General features: G+C 41.0%; 1 protein-coding gene across 11 annotated transcripts in view; it reads left to right on the forward strand.

Annotated features, from left to right (window-relative positions):
• The window catches only part of COL14A1 (collagen type XIV alpha 1 chain), a 249,120-nt gene that overhangs the window by 200,301 nt on the left and 25,569 nt on the right, over positions 1-23,250 (forward strand). For all 11 annotated transcript variants that reach the window (NM_001413490.1, NM_001413491.1, NM_001413493.1 and 8 more), the window contains 5 exons: positions 7,387-7,440; positions 7,910-7,981; positions 16,571-16,606; positions 17,626-17,692; positions 20,621-20,809. In NM_001413490.1, coding sequence (NP_001400419.1) covers positions 7,387-7,440; positions 7,910-7,981; positions 16,571-16,606; positions 17,626-17,692; positions 20,621-20,809 — 418 coding nt within the window. The remainder of the gene's footprint in view (positions 1-7,386; positions 7,441-7,909; positions 7,982-16,570; positions 16,607-17,625; positions 17,693-20,620; positions 20,810-23,250) is intronic.

The raw sequence follows: 23,250 nt of genomic DNA on the forward strand, positions 1-23,250 counted from the left end.
GCTTCGAAGAAGATATGAATGAAGAATAGTATAATTGAGTCACTAGTTCTAAGCAGTATTTCCGCTGGCTACAGAAACAAGTATTCTCCTTTCTGACTTGATTTTCAGTTGCAACACTATTTGTGGGCAGGTCAGTTTTTTTTAGAGACCATAGGCACAGCACCTAGAAACTATAAACTTTTAAAGAGCCTACCAAAAAATGTTTAGAAACTTGAAAAAAAGCACATACATTTGTTCTATAGTATGGAAAAGAAAACTGCAAAAATGGAAGTTAAGAAATGTTTAATTAAATGTCTGTATAACAACATGGTTTGCCAATTTCAGCCATGGTTAAATTTAGTATTTATTCAAATATTAGTGATTTTGAAAGCAAATTGTGGGTCAGGTATACTTTTGCTGATAAATCATAGCCAACCATAACTTAATAAGTTGCTCATAGGCAAATGTTTTTAAAAACAAATTATAAAAATCCTTTCAAGTTTTTATAGCAAGAATTATTTTTAATGTGGACTATGGGTGCATATTAATATTTTGAGGTAGGAATATTAAAAAGGAAAAATGCCTAGAGCTATTCATGTTATTTAAAAAAATCCCTGTCTGTGGGTGACTAATTTCATGCATTTTTTAAAAAAGTCAGCCTAAGTGAATTCACATATTATGCTTATTGTTTAACCTTCTATTTCCTAATATTCATTGTACATTGCTTAATTAAGTGTTCTGCTGTTTGTTTGTTTGTTTGTTTGTTTGTTTGTTTTTGAGACAGAGTCTCACTCTGTTGCCCAGGCTGGAGTGCAGTGGTGCGATCTTGGCTCACTACAACCTCCACCTCCTGGGTTCAAGCGATTCTCCTGCCTCAGCCACTTGAGTATCTGGGCTTACAGGCGTAACGTACCGCACCCAGCTAGTTTTTGTATTTTTAGTAGAGATGGGGTTTCGCCATGTTGTTCAGGCTGGTCCGGAACCCCCGACCTCCAGTGATCCACCCTCCTTGGCCTCCCAAAGTGCTAGGATTACAGCCATGAGCCACTGCACCTGGCCACATGTTCTGCTTTATATGAGGATGCTTAATCTCTAAACACACATCTTAGATTAGCTCCTTGGTGTAAAATGGAAAATTTATAGATATAGAAAGGTTTTGGGACGTGCAAGTACTTTTTTAGCTGTTAATAGTTGAAGACCATTCAATGAGCTTTGATTATAGTTAAGCTGAATGACAAAGCTAGAATTTGCCCATTAATTTACCCTACAAAATGCAGTTATTTTACAAAATTTTTCCTTTCACCAAGTTTATTGCTTTCTGTAAAAAGCTTCTGCTACTGCTGCTCACCCTGAAATGAAGATGTGAGAAGAAGGGCCTGAACCCTGCCCTTTGAAGAGTTGACTGGCTTGCCCAGTGAGAGCTGTAACATGCAGTGGTGTGTGAATAGGGAGACTCATGCCATGGACCCAACCATTCTGATTACTTGACTTAAATTCCACCTCTTCTGTGAAAATGTCTCTGTGTCCCCAAGCCTGGGTTAGGTGCTCTTCCTAGATGTACCCGTTGGAACTCTATAGTCTCTCAGCATAGCACACTGTTGGTTTCTTTTCATTGTTTGACTATCCTCAAAACTGTAAACTCTTAGAAGAGTGACTGTCTTGTTCATCATTGTCTACCTAGAGCCTAGCAGAATCCCCAGCATGTAGTACCTGTACAGGTATTTCTGGGTAATATGACAAATGCAAGACTTGCAAATAAAAAATCTTTCAAAGGCAAATTTACTGGTGTCATTTAAGAGTTTAAAAATAAAACTATTTTATGAGATGGAAAATGTGAAGATCTTTAATTTTCTAGGGTTATGAAGAAATTTTAGAAAAAATGGCTTTGTGTTTTTGAAATGGTGTTAAGGCTAATATCCTTTTAGTTATCACAATTTATAATAAGAAAATTTTCATTTGAGATAAAGCAAGCAGATAACTCACAGTAGACTTAAAAACGCCTTTGTTCTTGGTTGGGTGCAGTGGTTCATGCCCGTAATCCCAGCACTTTGGGAGGCTGAGGCAGGTGGATTACTTGAGTTCGGGAGTTTGAGACCAGCCTGGCCAACATGGCGAAATCCTGTCTCTACAAAAAATACAAAAATTAGCCGGGTGTGGTGGTGCATGTCTGTAATCCCAGCTACTCAGGAGGCTGAGGCAGGAGAATTTTTTGAGCCTGGGAGGCGGAGGTTGCCATGAGCCGAGATTGTGCCACTGTACTCCAGCCTGAGCGACAGAGTGAGTGAGACTCTAACTCAAAAAACAGAAACAAAAACAAAAACCCACCTTTGTTCTTGAACAAATTTGTTATTTGTTCTTGAACCATTATCTCTAAAAGTGTTTAGTTGTTTATGACAGTCCATGAAAAAAGTGCCAGAATAAAATGCATTGTAGTGGATGCTGTTGGTGCCCTGATTGGACCCCCTTTACTTGGCAGGTGAACTACATCACCAGCTGCTATGGTGCTGACTGCTAACCACTCATAATTGTCCCCTTCTCCAGATAATTGCCCTTGGAAATGTTATCTTGGCCCTCAGTCAACGACTAACTGATTTGGTTCATAGACTCTTATGTGAGTCAACTCTGACGTGTAATTCACACTCCAGAGCTCCCCATGGGATCAGGCAGAAGTTTAGATAACTCACTACTCTACCTAACCTCTTCCCTGTCCCTACCCTGCTTCCTTCACTGCCTTACAGGTTTCTTCCAAGAACCCTCCTGCAATAAGTCAAATACACAAGGATCTGGGTCTGCTTCTAGGATCCTAACCTTAAGCTTTTACTAAAATGAAATTTCAGCTTCTGAGAGTAGGATGACTCCTGATGTCTTTTCGACTTGCTTGCAGAGGGTTCAAGAGCAAGGAGAATGACACCAGCATTCCCCTCACCCTATACATTTCCAGACTCATTCTACCTGTGATTCACGCTTATTTCTTCGATGTGATAAGTAGAGCAGGAACCTCAATCTTATTCAAATTAAGTATTTATTAGTGCAATACTTTTTTTTTTTTTTGAGATGGAGTCTTGCTTTGTCACCCACTGGAGTGCAGTGGTGCAATCTTGGCTCACTGCAACCTCCACCTCCCAGGTTCAAGTGATTCTCATGCCTCAGCCTCCCAAGTAGCTGGGATTACAGGCATGAGCCACCACGCCTGGCTAAGTTTTGTATTTTAGTAGAGACAGGGTTTCACCATGTTGGCCAGGCTGGTCTCGAACTCCTGACCTCAGGTCATCTGCCCGCCTCGGCCTCCCAAAGTGCTGAGATTACAGGCATGAGCCACTGCACCTGGCCATGTGCAGTACCTATTTTGTGTCAGTAATGTGTTAAGAAAGTTTTAGGAATATAGCGATGAATAAAACATAATTTTCTGCCCTCGAAAGAAGAAGAGAAAGAAGAAATTCCAACTTTTGAGGATATTGTTTAGGTAGAATTTAAAGCAAACAAACATCTTATCCAGTCTCTGCTTTATTTGTTTTTTTGAGACAGGGTCTCACTCTATCACCCAGACTGGAGTGCAGTGGTGTGATCACAGCTCACTGAAGTTTCAACCTTCCGGGCTCAAGCAATCCTCCAGAGTAGCTGGGACTACAGGCACAAGCCACCAGGCAGAGCAATTTTTTTTTAATTTTTTTTTTTTTGGTAGAGATAGGGGTGTCTTTATGTTGCCCAGGCTAGTCTTGAACTCCTGGGCTCAAGCGATCCTTTTGCCTCAGCCTCCCAACATGCTGGGATTACAGGCATGAGCCACCACACCCAGCTGCAGCCTCCACTTTTGATTTGATCACACTGAAGCACTAGCCCTTTCACCAAATTAAGCTCATATGTAGGAGCAACATGTCATCCTTCCAGATGATATGCACATGATGTCCATAAATCAAGTGAATTCAAACCTCTTCACAAGAGTATCCTTCCAGGGTCATAGATGAGAGCACTGACAGACTTGTTTTTTAAACTCCTTCTCACATGATTGGGAGAGGGGATAAATGTGTTATTTCCTGCTGTTCTTCCTTGGAACAATGCAATTTTCTGCAGTTTCTTTTCTGCAGCTTGCCTCCTTCTGTGAAAAAGATTCCCCTCACTTGTTTTTGGAATGTTTCCCCTCTGGACACAGCCGAGCAGAGACTTGGGGAGAACTCCGCAGTAATGCTGCAGTTTTGGTTGCTGGGCAGTTGTGTTGGCCACGGGTCCTCTGTGGGCTCACGCATAGGTGCATGTTCACTCCCTATCCAGTGCTGGAAGAGTTTTAAAGCAGGAAGCAAAAGATGCCTTTTTGGAAATGTCTTCTTAAGTTAGTGAATATGTGCCCAGGGTCCATTTTTCTAAGAACTTCATCTGAGAAATAAGAATATATTATTATAAACTTATAAACTTATTTTAAAAAATGAGTTAGGTTTTCTTTCAACTCTCTCTTGGCCCCAGGTTTTCTCACTAGTAATATGAAGGAGTTAGAATGGATGAGTTCTAATGTCCTATTCATCCGTCACATACTCTGATTGCTGTTTGCCCTTCTTCTTGGACAGGCTACATTTAAACTCCATTTAACATAATTTATTGGCTGGGTGCAATGCTCATGCCTTTAATCCCAGCACTCTGGGGAGTTAAGGCGTGCAGACTACTTGAGCCTAGGAGTCCGAGACCAGCCTGAGCAATGTGACAAAACCCCATCTCTACAAAACATACAAAAATTAGCCAGGCATAGTAGCACATGCCTATAGTCCCAGCCATGTGGGAGGCTGAGGTGGGTGGATTTCTTGCATCCAGGAGGTCAAGGCTGAGGTGAGTCATGATTGTGCCACTGCACTCCAGCCTGGGTGACAGAGCAAGACTGTCTCAAAAAAAATAAAATAGTTTATTTCAACTTATATCAGCATTAATTTGTATTGTTTAGTTAGCAGGTCTAAGGACCTGTGTATGTGTGTGTGCAAAGTAATCTGTATCAGGGTTTATCAATACTAATATTTTTGAGTGAAGTGAAAGAATATAAGTAGTAGTAAAAATAAAAATACTAATATATTTCAGGATTGGACAGCAATTCTAATAAACAACCCTAAAATCTCAGTGGTTTAATGCAATAAAATGAAATAGAATGAAAGTTCATTGCTTGTTCACAATCCAGAGCTGTCAGCAAGGGTGGGTGGAGGAGTGGGGGTTAGGGGGTCTCTGCTCCACACAGTCATTTAGGAACTCAGGGTCTTTCCATCTTGGAACACTCTCATCTTCAACATTTGGCCTTTAAGATTGCTCCAGAGTGAGAAAATAAAGTGTAAAATCACCCACTGGAAATTTTTATGAGCTAAAAACTCATACTAGCCCCTTGAAACTAGCCACTTTTCATTGGCCAGAACTCAGCCATGTGGCTCCAGCATAATTGCAAAGAGGGTGCAAAACAGCTAAGCAATGTGCCTAGGCAGGAAAGGAAAACCACAAATATTGGTGAGCCCACGCATCCCCTGCCTTATCTGGTTTCTGACTTGCTGGCATTCTGAGGTTGAGAGTGTGGCAAAGGGCTTTGCTGACCAGTGTTTCTCCTCCACACTCGTCCTACCCCTGTGTATTATTATTCTCACGCTGCTAATAAAGACATACCCGAGACTGGGTAATTTATAAAGGAAAGAGGTTTAATTGGCTTACAGTTTCACATGGCTGGGGAGACCTCACAATCATGGCAGAAGGCAAAAGAGGAGGAAAGTGACATCTTAAATGACGGCAGGCAAGAGAGCATGTGCAGGGGAACCCCATTTATAAAACCATCAGATCTTGTGAGACTTGTTCACAATCATGAGAACATCATGGGAAAGACCAGCCCCTATGATTCAGTTACCTCCCACTGCGTCACTCTCATGACGTGGGAATTATGGGAGCTACAATTTAAGAGAGATTTGGGTGGGGACACAGCCAAACCATATCACCCTGCCTTTGTGCCACCTCTCACACTCTCCCAACTCACACACCGTTTCCTTTCCCTCGGCCTTATCATTGCTGTCTTTTATTTGACACCTTGAGGTAGGGAGACATAATGTGAGTCTGGACAGACCTAAAAGATGGATTTTCTGTCGGGTGTGGTGGCTCATGCCTGTAATCCCAGCACTTTGGGAGGCCGAGGCAGGCAGATCACCTGAGGTTGGGAGTTCGAGACGAGTCTGACGAACATGGAGAAACCCCATCTCTACTAAAAATACGAAATTAGCCAGTCGTGGTGGTGCATGGCTGTCATCCCACCTACTTCGGAGGCTGAGACAGGAGAATTGCTTGAACCTGGGAGGGGGAAGTTGCGATGAGCCAAGATCGTGCCATTGCACTCCAGCCTGGGCAACAAGAGCAAAACTCTGTCTCACAAAAAAAAAAAAAAAAAAAAAAGGATGGATTTTCATGGTAAAATAAGTGGAAAAGATGGCTCACTGGAAAAGTGGCAAGAATGTCAGAAAGGGAATTGGGAGAGTCTGCAAAGATGCCAGGAGAAGTTTGAGTTGGTTTGAGATGGAAAATAATTATTCCAATGGGACACCAATTCCGTGGTGAAAATTAAGTTTCTCCCTATAGTAACAGGTGGTGTTTGGAAAAAATTTTACGAAATTTTATGAATATGATAAAATTCAGATTGAAGATTCTCTCTTAAATTAACTGCTTTGGAAAGGCCAGCATTCACAATTAAGAGCTATAAACATTTAGGAGTAAGTCATCCCAGCTTTTGTAGTTTTTTTAACACTTAACATAAAAATAACACACATACCTATATATTCTATAATTGAGGAAGATGTTTTTATAAAGAACATCACTTGCTTTCTGCCTTAAATCCTTCCACCAGGGAATGAGGAGCAAACACGTGCTCATTTGTAAGCCCACGATGACACTCAGTAAATCTGTCCAGTAGTCAAAGCTCAATCATTGCCACACGAAATCCTCCCAAATCTCCTCCAGCTTACTCCTGAAGTTGCAGACTTTCCGATATTGTAGTACTCCTAATGAAAGACAGATCCCTCTGATAGAGATTCCCTGCCCAAGACTCTCTTAGGTCATGAAAGATACTAATTCATCTTTTCATCTGGTCCTTAATGACCAATAATGGATCCTCTTTCCATTTGTTAGGCTTAGTTTAGTAAAAGCACTTTTTGGAAGCAAGTTCCTGTTTAAGTTTGTAAGTGGCATTTCTTACGCCTAAAATTTTTGCACTGGACAATTTAATGGAGCCAACAGTCACAAAACCTTGCCAAAAACAATTTCCATGAAGAGTTTAAAGGCAGTGAATCCTTGGTAGTCCAGAGCAAGCAGCAGGACTTGACCCCCAAACATGAAAAGGAACTAAATGAGCCCATTCTGAAAGCCATATAAAGCAACCACTTGCTGACATGCTGTGTTTCTTTTCGCCAGGGCCTTCCGGGAAAGGATGGATCCTCGGGACCTCCAGGACCACCAGGGCCAATAGTAAGCCTTTCCAGAAACTACTGGGACATACTCTGTTTTAAAGCACTTCATTTCTTTTGAGAGGTTTTCTTTTGCCAGATCTTTTACCAGCAGCCGTCTTCACTATAGTGTGACAACTCATCCCTTGATAGAGAACTCTCCCTAAAACTTTTTAGAAAGATAATATACCCATATTGCCCAATTATTCTATCTCTGAGCTATTTTGCCAGAAGATCACCTGCATTGACTTAGCTTTTATTAAATCACAACTAAGGCTTGAATTTGAAAGAACCACACCTGATATATAGTGAGGAGACTAAAAAAAAGTCTTCCCTCCGTTTTTGGGAGTTGGGAACAGGAATGAGGTCCTGGTGATGAGGGGGAGGGAAGCTATCATGGTGTGTATTTGTTACTCTTGCTTAAAAGTTGGCTGTCATTGATGAGAATGTGTGATTCCTGACTTTGTTCCATTTTCCTACCTCTCTTCTAGGGCATTCCTGGCACCCCTGGAGTCCCAGGGATCACAGGAAGCATGGGACCGCAAGGCGCCCTGGGACCACCTGTGAGTATGCAGCGGTAGCTGCTCAGAATGTAGGCCCAGTCATCACGTTTATTTATGTGTTTAAATTTACCAGCCTTTCTGTTAGTCAGAAATGTTTATTCAGCACTGGACTCTATGGAAATTCATAAAGGAAATTGGAAAAGCTTCTAGGATAAAGATGAAGATCAGATTATGCATATGTCATGGCTGAAGATAAATGGTCCTAAAAGGGAATAATCTGTCATGCTTTTGCTTATATGTTTCTATTGCTTGCTATTCTGTATTTGGCTAAGCAAACTCAATATCATCTCTCCAGAGATTGGGTACAACAGCTACGTGTTAATCAAGCTGGGTTCCCAAAGGGAAAAATAGAAAGCTTGGGAAATTCTAGGTTTAATGAACGTGACATTAGATTTTTCTCTTCCAAATTCTACAAGACAGAATTTACCAGTAAAACACACACTCACACATAAGTGAGAGGTGTTATAAGTGAAAACATAATGAACAGAATTCTTTGCCTCTGATTGTTGTACTTCTAGTCTCTTAGGTTGGTGTTTAAATGTGATCAATGGGAGAGGAAGGGATAAGGTGAAAGAAAAACAAATGAACACATCTGGGCCTGTTTCTTCATCTGTAAAATGAGGTCATCATATTACATGGCCTCTGGAGACATGCTTGGCATCTTCTGGTGACATGCAAGTTGTTCCTTCTAGGTTTAGATGTTAGTCAGCATTCTGATATTTATCTGTGAATTGCTAAGTCTACATCCATAAACTGAAACATTGAAAAATGCAAAGATGTGTACAACTGCAAACACACTAAGAATGTGTGGAGCAGTGAAATCCAATGGATGAGGATGGAAGCATCTAGTGAATTAGATTCCTGTTACCACTTAACAAATTGCCACAATCTCAGTGGCTTAAAACATCACAAATTTGTTATCTTACAGTTCCGCAGGTCAGAAGTCTGGCGCAGATCTCACTGAGTTAAAGGGAAGGTGTCGGTATTTCCTTTCTGGAGGCTAGAGGAGAGAATCTCTTTCCTGGCCTTTTCTAGCTGCTAAAGGCCTCCCGTAGTCCTTGGCTCATGTCCACCTGCATCTTCAAAGCCAGCAATGTTGCATCTCTCTGGCCTTTTTCTGCCGTAGTCACTTCTCTCTGACAACAGCCAGGAAAGGTTCTCTTCAGGACCTATGTGATTACATTCAGGCCACTGGGATAATCATAGATAATCTCCCTAGATAATTCCCAGATCCTTAACTAAGTCACATTTGCAAATTGCCTTTTGCCACATAAGGTAACATATTCACAGGTTCTGGGGATTAGGGCAAAGAAGTTTGAAGGGCCTTTTTTTCTGCCTACCATAGTAAACAAGATGTAACAGAAATGTTGGTTCTCATTCAGAAAGTGGCCTCTCTTCGTCTAGCAACCCAGATAGTCTTGTTCCTCTTATTCTTGAAACTCATTTTAATAAAATTATTTCATCCTCAGAATCCTTTTCTGGGCCATGATTCATGTGAGGCATATGTAGGTACACAAACCCATACAGGTTATGCACATACAAAATGCATCTTGATTTTAGCAAACACATCCTAATTTGCACATTCAAATAAATGCTATCCTTAGTAATCACTTTATACAGCTGTATCTTTATTCCAACTACAATGTCATTCAAAATACAAAATACTTTTAGATCTCTTCTTTTTATATCAACCTAGTAATGGGTCACAGAAGAAAATCTGATTGCTTTATCTTCACACATCTTTCTTTTAATTCAAAAATGTGTTGCAAAGTATGATCCTGCACCTAGAAACATATACTGAAACCCACATGTGTGAACACATGAAAAAATGCATGCGTTCACACACAAAAACACACACACACACACACACACACACACACACACCTGTCTTCATTCTTTCACTGCAAGCTTATCTATTCGTTTGATTCTAAGCTGTTTCATACCAGAAAAGAAACTTAAAAACATACTGTCTGGTATTTGGCTTCAGCCTGCTTCCCAGAATGTGCTCCTGGGAACCAGAGTTTTAGAATACATCCACAGTGCCAGACAGTAAAGGGTCCTGGTCAAAGAAGTGGCCCTGACATGACCCTAACTAGTTGTGTAAGCCACATGCACAGAAACTGCATGCCTAATCTGTTTCTCAGAAATTCATGGGAAGTTTTAGGACATGAAAGGCTTTGAGGCATCCCGAAGTGAAATTAGAAAACACCCAAAACTAGTTTAATTTGGTTAGACAATAAACGTATTTGTGCATGAGGTTCTTATTCTTACTAGCATCTCCTAGAACTAGTTTCTCCTAACCCAGGCTAGGAAAAAGCAAGGTATAGAGTGATCCTGACCCAAGAGGGAGGGAATGGGGAAGAAGGAAGGAAAGAAATGCAGGCTCTGAGAGCTTTGGGAGAGTTGACATGGGGCGTGGAGAGCTAGAGAGAGACCTGGAATCATTGAGTAACTATGATAGCACCCTGCTCACCGATCTGGCCTTTGGTGGCTCTGGATTAGACTCTAAATATAGTATCTACATAAATACCAATAAAATTTTCCCACAAATAAAACACTTGTTCATAATGTTATTTTTGTTATGAATCAGCAGAAAGGGGCCCTTGAAAGCAGCAGGAGGGGCCCTTGTGCCATTGGTGCTTTGATCAGAGGCAGAAACCATTTGGCCTATTAGCATCAGGTAGGAATACCACAGCTGGCTTGGGCATTTCCTCTCAAAAGCAAGTTGCTCTCTGAACTGTCCAGCCCAGACTTTTTTGGGCCCACTGGCTCCCAGATGCTTGCTGGCGGCCAGACTGGCATGACTGTGACAGCAGGCTCCGTGTCATGGTGTTAAGGCCTGGATTGATTTCCCATGGATGTCTGTCTAGGAAGGCATGAGGGAAAGGGACCAAGAGGGACAGGCTGCACCGCTGAAAATAGCAACATGTTTCCTACAGTGGGTGCCAGAAAGGCTTGCTTTTGTGCAGTCTGCCTTCAGCTGCCGGCTCCCTAGGGCAGAATGTACATTGCTGCTGCTGAGGTCCTAATTCCGATCTAAGTTTTAAGCACTGGCTTAGGTACGGTTCCTCCACTGCAGTTGTTAGAGAGTGATAAAGCACACGAACGAAGGAGCTGCTCACTGCTGGGGCCATGTGTTCAGCCAGGTAGACAGGTCCAGGGTTACATCATTGAAAGAGTATTGCATTAGAAGTCAGGATACCTGGGTCCTTGATGTAGCCCTGACATGACTCAAAGTAGCTGTGAAAGCCACATCAGTTGCACAAATCATCTAGCCTTTTGGAATGTCAGTTTCCTAATTCATTCATTTAAAATATTTAGGGAATGAGCACAATACATGTAAGATTACATGGTGGGGAGGGGTTGTGAGGGATACAAAAGATCTCAAGACATTTTTCAATACTCTTGAGAAATCCAGAGAGAATGATGTTTTTATATAAGAAGCTGTAATAAAGGGCAGAAAGTGTGAAATGCCTTAAGGCAAAGACAAGCAAATTGCTCTGAAAGCTCCATTAAGAGAGAGACCCCTAAGCTGAGGGGTGGGAGTAGCGGCTTCAGGAGCATTTAGATGAGATCTTAGAATATGGGTAGGAACCTAACCCACAAAGACAGAAAGATTGCATCACTTAGGTGGCAGTTGCAGAAAAACATAAGGCAAACACAGAGCACCCCTGTCTCTGTACATTTTAATATTTTTCAATTCTTTCTCTAGTTCCATCACGACTACTGCAGTTTTATTTCAGGCCCTGCTTGCTACTCACAAGGACTATCCCAAGAGGCTCTCATTGGCCCCCTGGTCTCTGCTTTAGCCCTGGTCTAGTCCATTCCCCAGCTGCCAGAACATCTTTTAGTGCAACTCCCTCGTGTCACTGTCTGGCTTCAATCTCTTCCCTACCCCTGGAGGAAGGAGCCCAGTTGTTCAGCAGAGAGCTCGTGGCCCTTTAGGATGGGCCCCTACTTTCCTTTCCAACTTGGATTACCATCCTCCCTTCACTTGGAGTTCAGTCACACATTATTTAAAGTTCCTGAAATATATGCCATACCATTTCACATGTTTGTCTTTGGGGATGCTAACAACCTACAGGATGCTCTTTGGGATGCTCTTTTGCCTTACTGGGCTGCATTCTTTTTCACCACTTGGTGAGCTCCCGGCAAATCCTTCTTTAAGGCTGCACATCTCCTGTGTAAAGCCACCTGTCCCTTCGCAGGCTGTTAGGTACTGCATTTCAACTATTGATGTTTGTCTCTCCACTAAAAGGATAATTCCTTCAGGATAGAAATTCTATCATATTCTTGTGCAGAGTCCTAGACCCCAGCTCAGTGTCTAACACATAGAGAGTACTTAATATGTATTTATTAAAAGAAAAAAAGAAGGCTGGGTGGGGTGGCTCATGCCTGTAATCCCAGCACTTTGGGAGGCCAAGGCAGGTGAATCACCTGAGGTCAGGAGTTTGAGACCACCCTGGCCAACATGGTGAAACCTGGTCTCTACTGAAAAAGAAATACAAAAATTAGCTGGGCGTGGTGGTGGGTGCTTGTAATCCCAGCTACTCAGGAAGCTGAAAGACGAGAATCGCTTAAACCCGGGAGGCAGAGGTTGCAGTGAGCCGAGATCATACCACTGCACTCCAGCCTGGGCGACAAAGCAAGACTCTGTCTCAAAATTAAAAAAAAAAAAAAAAAGAAAAAAGAAAAAAGAAAAAAAAGAAGGTACGTTTATATTCTAGTTAGGCTGATGTTCAGAGGCATATTAGAAGAATATTCTTATAGATTAGGGGTCAGGTCATGGAAGACGTTTCAAGCCAGCCTAAGATGTTTTGACTCTGTTTAACAGACATCTTTAATATGTAGGACTTGAACCACAAGATCATTCCTCTTCCTTCCAGCGCTAAAATTCGGTGAATCTATGAATGTAGCTGCTGTATTTTCTTTTCTTTACATTTCGAGTGCTCCTAAAATTAAAGGAAAGTGTGCCACTTTTTCCTGCCTACATCTGCAGGGAATATGTGTTTTCCCTCAAAGCATACTTTGGTGGAGTTATGGGCCTTCACTTGCTCAGGAATTTTTATTTTGTTTTTGTTTTACTTTGTAAAAATCAAAGGAACGATGTCAGAGAAGTTGGAATAAAAAATAATTTCTTGCCATAGAGATATTTCATTAAAAAGATCTTTCACTGAGACTGCCTAGCTGCATCCTTTGGCTACTTAATAACCAGCATCATGAGACTGAGTTTGAGGAATTTCAAGCCCAATTAAACACATCCGTCCCTACATACCAAAAGGTGCCAACAGCTGATGCTCTCCATTTACCATGTCAATCAGGTTTGCACTATAATTGTAGTCTCTAGATTTGAGACATTTTCAAACAAGCCAGTTTAATAAATGATAGCAAGAATAGCAAGAAAACTGTCAAAAAATGTATTGGTGCAGAAATAAAATTATTCAAGATAAAATAGATTTTAAAAAAACGACTCAAGTTGCACCCTAATTCTGAATTACTAGAGTTAGTCCTTAGGCATGGTATGTTTGCTTGTTTTGCTTATTTTAATTGAGAAAATATTATCTTCCCTGGAATAGAAGACATGAGCTGGCAGAATTGCTAAGCAGGGTTCTCTTTCAACAGAGTGGTAGAGTGTACTCGGGATGTGCATGGATTCTGGAGCCCACAATTTGGGTTCAGGTCCCTGGTTTTTTCACTTCCTTATTGCCTGGCCTTGAGCAAGTGACAAGACCTCTTAGTGCCTCATTTTCCATATCTGGAAAATAGGAATAATATAGGGTTGTTATAAAGAATAAATGAGTTAATCTTATAGGAGTATTATAAGCACTAAATAAGTTAATCTTATAGGAGTATTGTAAGCACTAAATAAGTTAATCTTATAGGAGTGTTATAAGAATTAAATGAATTAATCCTGCAGAGCTGTTATAAGGTTTAGCTGAGTTAACATGCTAAGAACAAGGACAGTGCTTGGAACATGGTAAAGCAGCCTACGTATCAGCTATTAGTATTTAGAGTGTCATAATGTATTAAAATATGGAATATTTATTATTTGCTGATTTTTTTGTTTTGCCTCTAATATTTGACAAACTGTTTCCGTTAAGGATTATTTAGTGGTAAGATGGTAGTTCTTTTCTCCAGTTGGTCCTTCCAGTAAACACTAATGTCTCTTTAGAGATCTGTCCATTTGTGAAGCCTAAGAAATGAGGGAAGAAGGCACAGCCAGTACATTTATTTCCAAAAAGAATTTGGGCTGGGGCAGGGGTGTGCTATGTAAATCTTACTTTTGCAAAAAAAATTTTATGATGGAACGCCTCCCAGGTTCAAGTGATTCTCCTGCCTCAGCCTCCCGAGTAGCTGGGACTACAGGCGTGTGCCACCACAGGCACGCGCCACCACGCCCGGCTAATTTTTGTATTTTTAGTAGAGATGGGGTTTCACCATATTGGTCAGGCTGATCTTGAACTCCTGACCTCGTGGTCTGCCCGACTTGTGATCAAGGCCTTTGCGATCCTCCCAAAGTGTTGGGATTACAGGCGTGAGCCACCGCGCCCTGCCATCTTCTGTCTTTTTTACAGTCAGGGTAGTTGAAATGAAGCACAAATTGGCTTGCCATTCAAACTTGAAGTGAAATTCAGCCACACTACATCCTCAGAAGGATCCTTTGTGAGGATCTTCTTTCTCTGTAGAGGTTGGAATCCTTTCCTCGGAAGCCCAGACTTTGTATTTTTCATCAATTTCTGTTTCCTGTGCTCCCTGCTTCTGAATAACGACCATATCATGAGAGAATAACGTGTTAGACTGATAAGGGAATCCCAGAGATCACTTCATTTAGTGGCCTCATCTTACAAAGAAACTCAGAGAGTTAACCCAGCTTGCAGGTCCAATGTCCTACATTCTTTCCAAAGTATTAGCATAAAAAAATTTTAAACACACACAAAATGGAAAGAATTTTGAGTGAACACCACACCCATATATCCAACACTAAGATTCTAACATCATGTTTAAAAAAAAAAAGTGTTGGCCAGGTGCAGTGGCTCACTCCTGTAATCCCAGCACTTTGGTAGGCTGAAGTGGGCAGATCACTTGAGGTTCAAGAATTTGAAACCATCCTGGCCACCATGGTGAAACCCCGTCTCTACTAAAAATACAAAAATTAGCCGGATGTGGTGGCACGCACCTGTAGTCTCAGCTACTCAGGAGGCTGAGGCAGGAGAATCACTTGAACCCAGGAGCCAGAGGCTGCAGTGAGCTGAGATCGTGCCACTGCACTCCAGTCTGGGAGATAGAGGGAGACTGCGTCTCAAAAAAAAAAAAAAAAAAAAAGTGTGTGGGTGTGTATGTGTGTGTATGTGGTGTATGTTTGTGAGTGAGTGAGTGTGTGTGTGTGTGTGTGTGTGTGTATTGAATAGACATAGCAGGGCAAGGGAGGAGAGGAGAGAAGATAGAGCCAGGGTGGGCTGCTTATATCTGCACTGGAGAGTCAATCATGCATTTCTCTTCCTTTCCAATTCCATCTTCAGTGACAGCACATTTGTAGCTTGAAATCAGCTGTGATAGAAACACTTACACCTCCAAAATCAGCAAGCACTACAAGTCAGGGCATTTTCTTTTTCTGGGAAGCCAGTTTACCTGCACACTGTGGGATGAAACCAGAAGTTTGAATCTGGGCAACTGGTCACTGACTACAGATTTTGAAGAAGATACCGAGTTTGGCTTGGGACCTGTTTGAAATAACAACTGGAAACAGTCTGACAACGTGGCAAATTCCATTAATGAATTCCATTCACTCTCCTTTTAGTCGAGACTATAAAAATGTTGTTCAATGAACATTGCCTCAGAGTTGAAACAAAATATGAAATCCTTCTGAAGACACGTGTTTTGCATTAGATGTATGATTTTTTTGGAGGAACCCTGAAAATGCCATTTTTAAAGTAGATGCGCTTTAATAACGGCAAGGTTTCTTATGGGTGAAAGAGTAGCTAAGCCACATAATAAAATAATAAATCAATTGAGAAGTCACATAAATGTGAGCTCCCATATTGGGGAGAATTAGGGAGAATTGTGTGGCATCGTGCTGCACAGAAATCAGAGTGAAGCTCTGGGATTTCACTAATCTCATCTCTGACTTGAACTCCTAAATTGAGAGGTGATCTTTTCTATCCTTTTGGAGATATTCCTTTAAAAACTGAAACAATTTAACTATTCATCAGAGATTTGTGAAATAAATTATGAAGGATCCTCAGTAGAATACAGTACATAGAGTGGCGTTTAGGGTGGAAAGATGCAAAGGACCTACACAGTGAAAATATGTGTTACAAAGCAATATTATTGCTGCACGATTCCAATTTTGTGGCCAAAATATACCATGTCTCTGCATAAAAAAGCTGAAAGGGTAGAATGCTTAACAGAGCTTTTTATGTTTGGTGTGCGTACTGGTTGCTGTTTATTTTCTGTTGTTGTGTAATGATTTTTGCTGCAGAATTACTGGTGCTAAGAAAAATGTCTTAATAAAATAAGAAAAGATGCATGATTATCACTCTTAGCTAAGTGCAATATCATAAGTAACTTGACAATTTTCCATTTATACAGGGTGTCCCTGGAGCAAAGGGGGAACGAGGAGAGCGGGTAAGTATCCTGTGGCTCTGCTTTCTGGCCCCAGCTTGTTGCACCCCTTCCATTGCATAAGCCTGATAAAGGATCATCATTTAATACCATTAATATTCATTGCAATTGTACCAGTCTCTGTTTCTCCCTTTCCCCAATTCATTAGACTGTGGCCATATTTTCCAGACATAAAATCCCTGTGGGCTGGGAGTCAGGAGAGCTAGTTTCTAATTGCATATCTGCTACCATCCAGGTCAATGAACTTGGGCTCTTTTCTTTAAGGATAAAATGGAGAGAATCACCGTCATATAATTTACAAAGTGGGTTTGATGAGAACGTTATATAATAGATGTGAAAAGGCTTCAGAAAAGTAAAAACTCTATACAAGTGACAAGTGGCAGCATGGCACTCCTGGGCTTTTTGATGCTCCCAGGTTCACACCCAGGAAGACAATGGCAGGCATAGAATCAAAGAACTGGCCCCCAAACTGAAGTCAGCTTAATTTAAGGGTCGTCTCTCTCCTTTCAGCAATTGTGCAGCTGCTAATATAATTGTGCCATTGGCTATAGCAGAAACAGCAGTGGCCTTGGGCTCATCCAATTACCTCTGTGAAATCTTGGGCCATGTGTTTAATGCTATTCAGCTATAAAATGGGTTTAACATCTTTCCTCTGGGTTGCTATTAGTATTAAATGAGCCACTGCTCGAGAAAGTGCTGTATTTTATAAGCTCTAAAGAGCTATATATCACGTGTTAAATATATATGGGTTTGTTTCAAAACTATTAAATTTTTTAGAATAGGGGACCAGAAATACTTACTAGTGCTTGTTAATCTAATAAGGACTCCCAGGAACCTTGAACCATGAATATCAAATTGCTTACCCCTTCTCTGCATGCACCGTGGTGGTCAAACCCACCTGTTGCTAGGGGCCAAAGATCCCTGATGGGAACAATGGGGCAAGTCAGATCCACATCCTGGAAGTCCTGGTAGTGTGGCTGGGCTTGTAGCTGAGTCAGGAGTATGCTTTTTTTCTCATCCAGGGTGACCTGCAGTCTCAAGCCATGGTGAGATCAGTGGCGCGTCAAGTATGCGAACAGCTCATCCAGAGTAAGTATGTAATGGTTACGGAGGATGTTCCCCATAACAAACTCTCATCCAAAAGAGAGTTTCTTTTCCCATGAGCGTACCACTAAGGAAAACTCTAAAGCATTGTCTTTGTGCAGACACATAAGCTTTACAGATGACCATCACTGACCCATCAAAGAGATCACTGCAGATTACCCTAGAGCTCTACATCGATGGTACAAAAGCCAAATTCCTTTGTGTCATTGGTCCAAGAACTGCCTGTTTGCCCATGTAAATTTAACTTGACTGCCCAGATCAGATCTTCTATTCCTTTCTCATCTTTCCAGGTGGGTAGGATTTTTTCTCAAGTGTTCAGCACTTGAAAGCTGCCAGACTACATCTTCAGAAGCTGCCTCAGAAAGACAATTTATGGTGTTGATTTTTATTAACTTGCAAGATTTAAATGAATATTTCCTTCTTATCCATTTCACATCCATTACCTTCTGGCTAGCCTAAGGTCTTCTCATTTATTTCTTAAGATGTTTATGAAAATACAAACACACACATGAACAGGCTTGCTCTGACGTTTGATATGATATTATACTTGGGCTTTGTGCCAAAAATTACATCATAACAAACTTGATATGACGCCTGTCCCATTTCTTCATTTTACTTGAGCTTTTTGATAGCACTGTATTTCCCTGCCCATTTGCTTAGATCCCACCACTTTTGCACGTTTCTGCTCTGCCCACTGATTATATATTTTATCACAGTAATCTAATCAGATGGTTACTAGTGTGGGCCCTTCGCTTTGCCAGTAATTTGTTCAGTTCCAGGAATATCTGAGGCCAAGCAGAGGTGAACTATCTCTCTCAACCCCACCCAGCTCTCGCCTAGCTCTGCTGTCCAGCCCTCTCACCCAATAGCACCCCCACTTCCAGGGCTGACATTACCCAGGTGGGTACCTCATTGGCTTGGGGTTATATTTATTTTAACTCAAGAAAGTTTGGGAGTTAGGCCAGGAAGCCCTGCAATATCTAAGACAGCTTTGTTGGCTAAGTCCAAAATTCCATCTTTAATTCTGAGATAAATCCAAATCTCACCCTGGAGGAGGCATGGAGTTGAGATCTGCACAGGCTTGGAAGAGTTTTCATTAAGGCAAAAACATCAGGGCAAGAGGAGTATGAAGATACCAACTTCAGACACAGTAGTCATGCTCCCTGTATTTTAACGTTATTTAATTTTCTGTTATATTGCCCAAACTATGTGTGTGTCTGTGACAGAGAATTTACCAGTTAAATATAACTGTTTAAGTTTAATGGCAAAATAGGATCTTTAAAAATACATTATAAAAGAGAAATTGAACATTAATCATTTTGTACTGACATATTGTAAATAACCTGTATCTTGAATTGTTTTTTAGATTTCTGATTTCAAGTGTACAATGTAAATGAGCAGATCATTATTTTCAGAAAACTTAAGGCTTAAATCTTACTATGACTCACTGACCACTACCCAAGAAAGATCTCACAATACTTGCTGTCTTATTCTACTGTAGAATAAAAATCATGTGTAAATATCTGATTATTTAAAGCATGCCCTAAAAATCAAGGGTTCAAAATCAATTTTTTCTCCTTACGAATTCTCAGAGTCTTGTGATTGACTTCTAGGAAGTAGAAGTCATCAAGGGATTGGTTACACAGTAAAGCTTAAACAAGTCTATAAAATAGCAAGGCCCTGCCTGTCAATATACTAGAAGGAAATCAAAAAGGTTGTATGCAACTCGATAAGCCAGGCCCAGCCTACTCAGAGGCTGTATTTCTGGTACCTCAACCATCTTGCCTTACACTACTTCAGTTTTCTCTGGGATCCTTATTGTATTCCTTCAGCTGCCACTCAGAACTGGATTTATCAGTTAGCAAATAATTCCTCACAAGCTCACTTCTCTGGTTTTTAGTTCACAGTTGATCAGAATTATGCTAGGAAGAGTTACATGGGAAATTATGCAAGGCCAAAGTGATGACAGCTGGGAAAATGATGATGGACAGTCCCCATGTCAAAGGCAGAAACTGAAAAAGCAAATGAGGAAATGTCTCACCTGCCCAGGCAACAATGGACGTGCCTACTAATAACATTGAGTCATCAGGAGCGGATCCCTACTTACAGTGACAATCCAATGCTTAAGGAAAGAATGCACTGAATGTATTTTAGAGTGAATTCCTTGAAGAAATTGTTACTATTTTTATTTAGTTTTAAATGTTTCAAAATGGATAAATAACAGTAAACTAGAAAATTCACTTATGTTGGGAAAACTCCTCTCCTAATGATGTTGGAAAAATGAGACATCATGGTATCAAGTACTTTATACTTCTGATTAGTAACATATATCTGTATATATATTTTCCATACATAACTGAGTTAAGGGATTGTGGGAGAGAGTGCCAGATTTTTTAAAAATATAAAGCTAGTGGGAGTTTCTGCAGCTGAGACCCAAGTAAAGGTTCCTAAAAAAAGGCTTGATGACCAAGAGATGAGTTGAGACAGAGCACTTGTCTGGGGATTTGTGAGCAAGAGGGTGGGGAGGCTTTGTGCGTTTTAGAAAAGAAAAATAACTTGGGGAGTAATTGCTAGAGAAATGGCAGCTGGGTGAGGGTCTAGGGGTCAGATAAATGTTGAGGGTAAAGATGAAATTTACAACTTCTGCTCAGTGATGTTTATTGAGATGCTGACATGAGCTGCAGAATTCCAAACACATGAGATGCCATTTGACAACAGTCCAGCCCTTAATATCATCCAGAGTAAAACGTAAAAAAATGTTAAGCTGGAAATCAACATATTTCAAAGGGGTGTGATTTTTCCCTTGGTGGGTATCTAACAGAATTGTTTGCAGCCTTAACAAATGACACCCCTGGTCCTCTCTTTCCTTGTGTGACAGTTCACTGAATGCTGTCTTTATGCTTCATACCTCAGGTCACATGGCCAGGTACACTGCCATCCTCAACCAGATTCCCAGCCACTCCTCATCCATCCGGACTGTCCAAGGGCCTCCTGGGGAGCCTGGGAGGCCAGGCTCACCTGGAGCCCCTGGTGAACAAGGACCCCCAGGCACACCAGGCTTCCCCGGAAATGCAGGCGTGCCAGGGACCCCAGGAGAACGAGGTAAGCTGGGCCCCTTCTCTCAGAGGAACTCCTCTGAGTTGGGTGCAGGGAAGCAGAACATTATAGTGGTTCTTATACAAGGATAAAGTCTGAAACAATGGACTTAAATTAATTCTGCCCCATCTATTCTTCAGTTTCTTGTTTATTTATCTCTGAGATTGAGAAAATTGAGCAATCTGCCAAGTGGTTATCTAGAGCCATATCTACTTATATGAAAGAGGAAGGTTAGAACCCCCAAATCACTTCTGAGAGTATTTGAGCTAATGAAAGAAAGATAACCCCTCTAGATGGATGAAGTCAAAAAGGGTGCCCCTTCCAGGTTGAAGAATTGGAAAATGATGCCGCCCTCTGACCAAACATGGCATCACACCAATGTCAAGGCAAGCAGAGAACTCACTCTGGTGATTTGCTGGTGCTTTATTTGTGTGGTGCCCAGACTGGGCAATAGTCAGTGGCAGTCCTGAGAAGAGTCATGAATTGTATCAGCATATGGTTCACATGTTCCTGTATAGACCATGTCAGCTCTAAACTTCAAATTAAAATACTGTCTGCGGCTCATCTTCCTATTATATCAGACAACATTTTATTTAATAGTTTCATGGGCCAATGTTTTGCCTTTCCCACTAAAGTTTCCTTAAAACAGAGATTCTACTTAGCCTTTTCTTCCACATCTACAGGTCTTAGAAGTATGGTGTAATACAATAATAAGACTCTTTTGACTGAATCTATAGTCGACTAAGATATTCCATTCCAGAAGCAGGTAAAGGAGATGTGGGAAGTCAGGGTTGCATGTTAACCGTGAAGAAAGTGATGGGAAAGAGAGACAACTCATCAGAGTATTTTCTAAGATACATTTTGTAGAACATAGACCTGGGGAAAAGCTAACTTTTACCTATCTGCTCTGTGAGGCATATTAGTTTTGTGGGATGGGTAGGATATATTCCTTTTATAAAATTTGATTTAAAATACAGATTACAAAAACTATTTCATATTTATTTTGACTCATGCTAACAGGCCTTGTGTATTTCTGCCTCTGCACTTTTGTACACATTGTTTTCCCTCTTTGGAAATGTCCTTTCCTTCCTTTGTCTTCCATACATCTTACTCTTAGTTCAAGGCTCAGCTGTCTTATGCATGAAATTGTTATTGATCACCCCAGAACCCAAATGTCTCCGCCCCCATGAACACCTGATGCCCTTACTGTCTTTTCTTTCTGTTTTAGCACTCATCAGGCATTAGCGAACAGCCAGGTTGTTGAGAGCAGGGATTGGTTCTGAATTGCTTTGCACAATGCTTTGCACTTAATAGGTACTTACTAGATAGTTGTTGCTTTAATTGTGACCCAGTTCTGATTTTTCTTTCTGAAAGTTTTTCCCTGTGTCAGGGCACAAAATCAGCAGATATAGAAAATGGCATCATTCCCTCACAACACACCAAAGATCTGGCAGCCTGGAATGTGGCCCCCTCTGTCAGCAGGGCATCCTCTGCTGCTGTCAATAATGGAGAAACTGTGACTCAGTGAGCACAGAGCCAGCACCTGAGTCATTCCCAGCAAGTCATAAGTTGTCTTTGTTCTTTTTGGAAGTCTTAGCCCCGTTCTTGCCAGACCGAGTCTCTCCTGCTCTGCAAGTACACTTGAATGATTAGACCACAGAAAAATCACCCAAGGATTCTCAAAGGGCAGCCCAGACGACCTTTGGAAATATGAATTTCCATGATGTAATTTTCTTACATACATATTGATATATATTCTAAAGAGTACAGTAGACAAGCAGAATCCTATATTTCACAAATGCATAAAAGATGACAGTAAGACAGAAAGTGAGAAATGCCCTTTGAGCATGGGGAAAGGTGATTTTAGTTGATGACCACTTGAAGGGTGTGATTTTGCGATGACTGTTATAGGTCAGGGCTTATAGGCCAGCATCCAAGGGGCTCCTCATTCCCGGCAAAGTTATTTCAGCTGCAGCTTGGATTTGCTGCTGCAAGGTAGGCAGTGATGTTTGGGATCCAAATATCCAGGAAAGATAAAGAGAGGAAAGGCCTGTCTTTCCACTAAGTCAAAACAATAAAATTTAAAAACTGAAGTCTTCAGCTATCTTTTCTCTTCTCATTTTCTATAAAAGGAAGCATATGAAGATATTGAAGTAAGGCCAAAAAGGCTCAAAGTCAGCCAACATCAAGACTTGAAATAAGAGCCAGAGACTGTGTTGTTTTTTTCTGCTGTATAAAATATGATTATCATCATTCTGGATAAAATAATGTTATAAGGACACAATATTGTAATGAGTAAAAATAAGTACTATTACCAGGCAGTGTATGTAGCACATAATGAACTACAAAAGCAAGATTATGAGAAATATGGCTGTTGAGCATTCTGGCATGAACACTGAAATGAGGCTCACTTTCTGCTTAGGCTTCCTATGAGCCTCATAGGAGTC

The sequence above is a fragment of the Homo sapiens genome, chromosome 8 (genome assembly GCF_000001405.40).
Source record: "Homo sapiens chromosome 8, GRCh38.p14 Primary Assembly".
In the NCBI taxonomy this organism is placed as follows: Eukaryota; Metazoa; Chordata; class Mammalia; order Primates; family Hominidae; genus Homo; species Homo sapiens.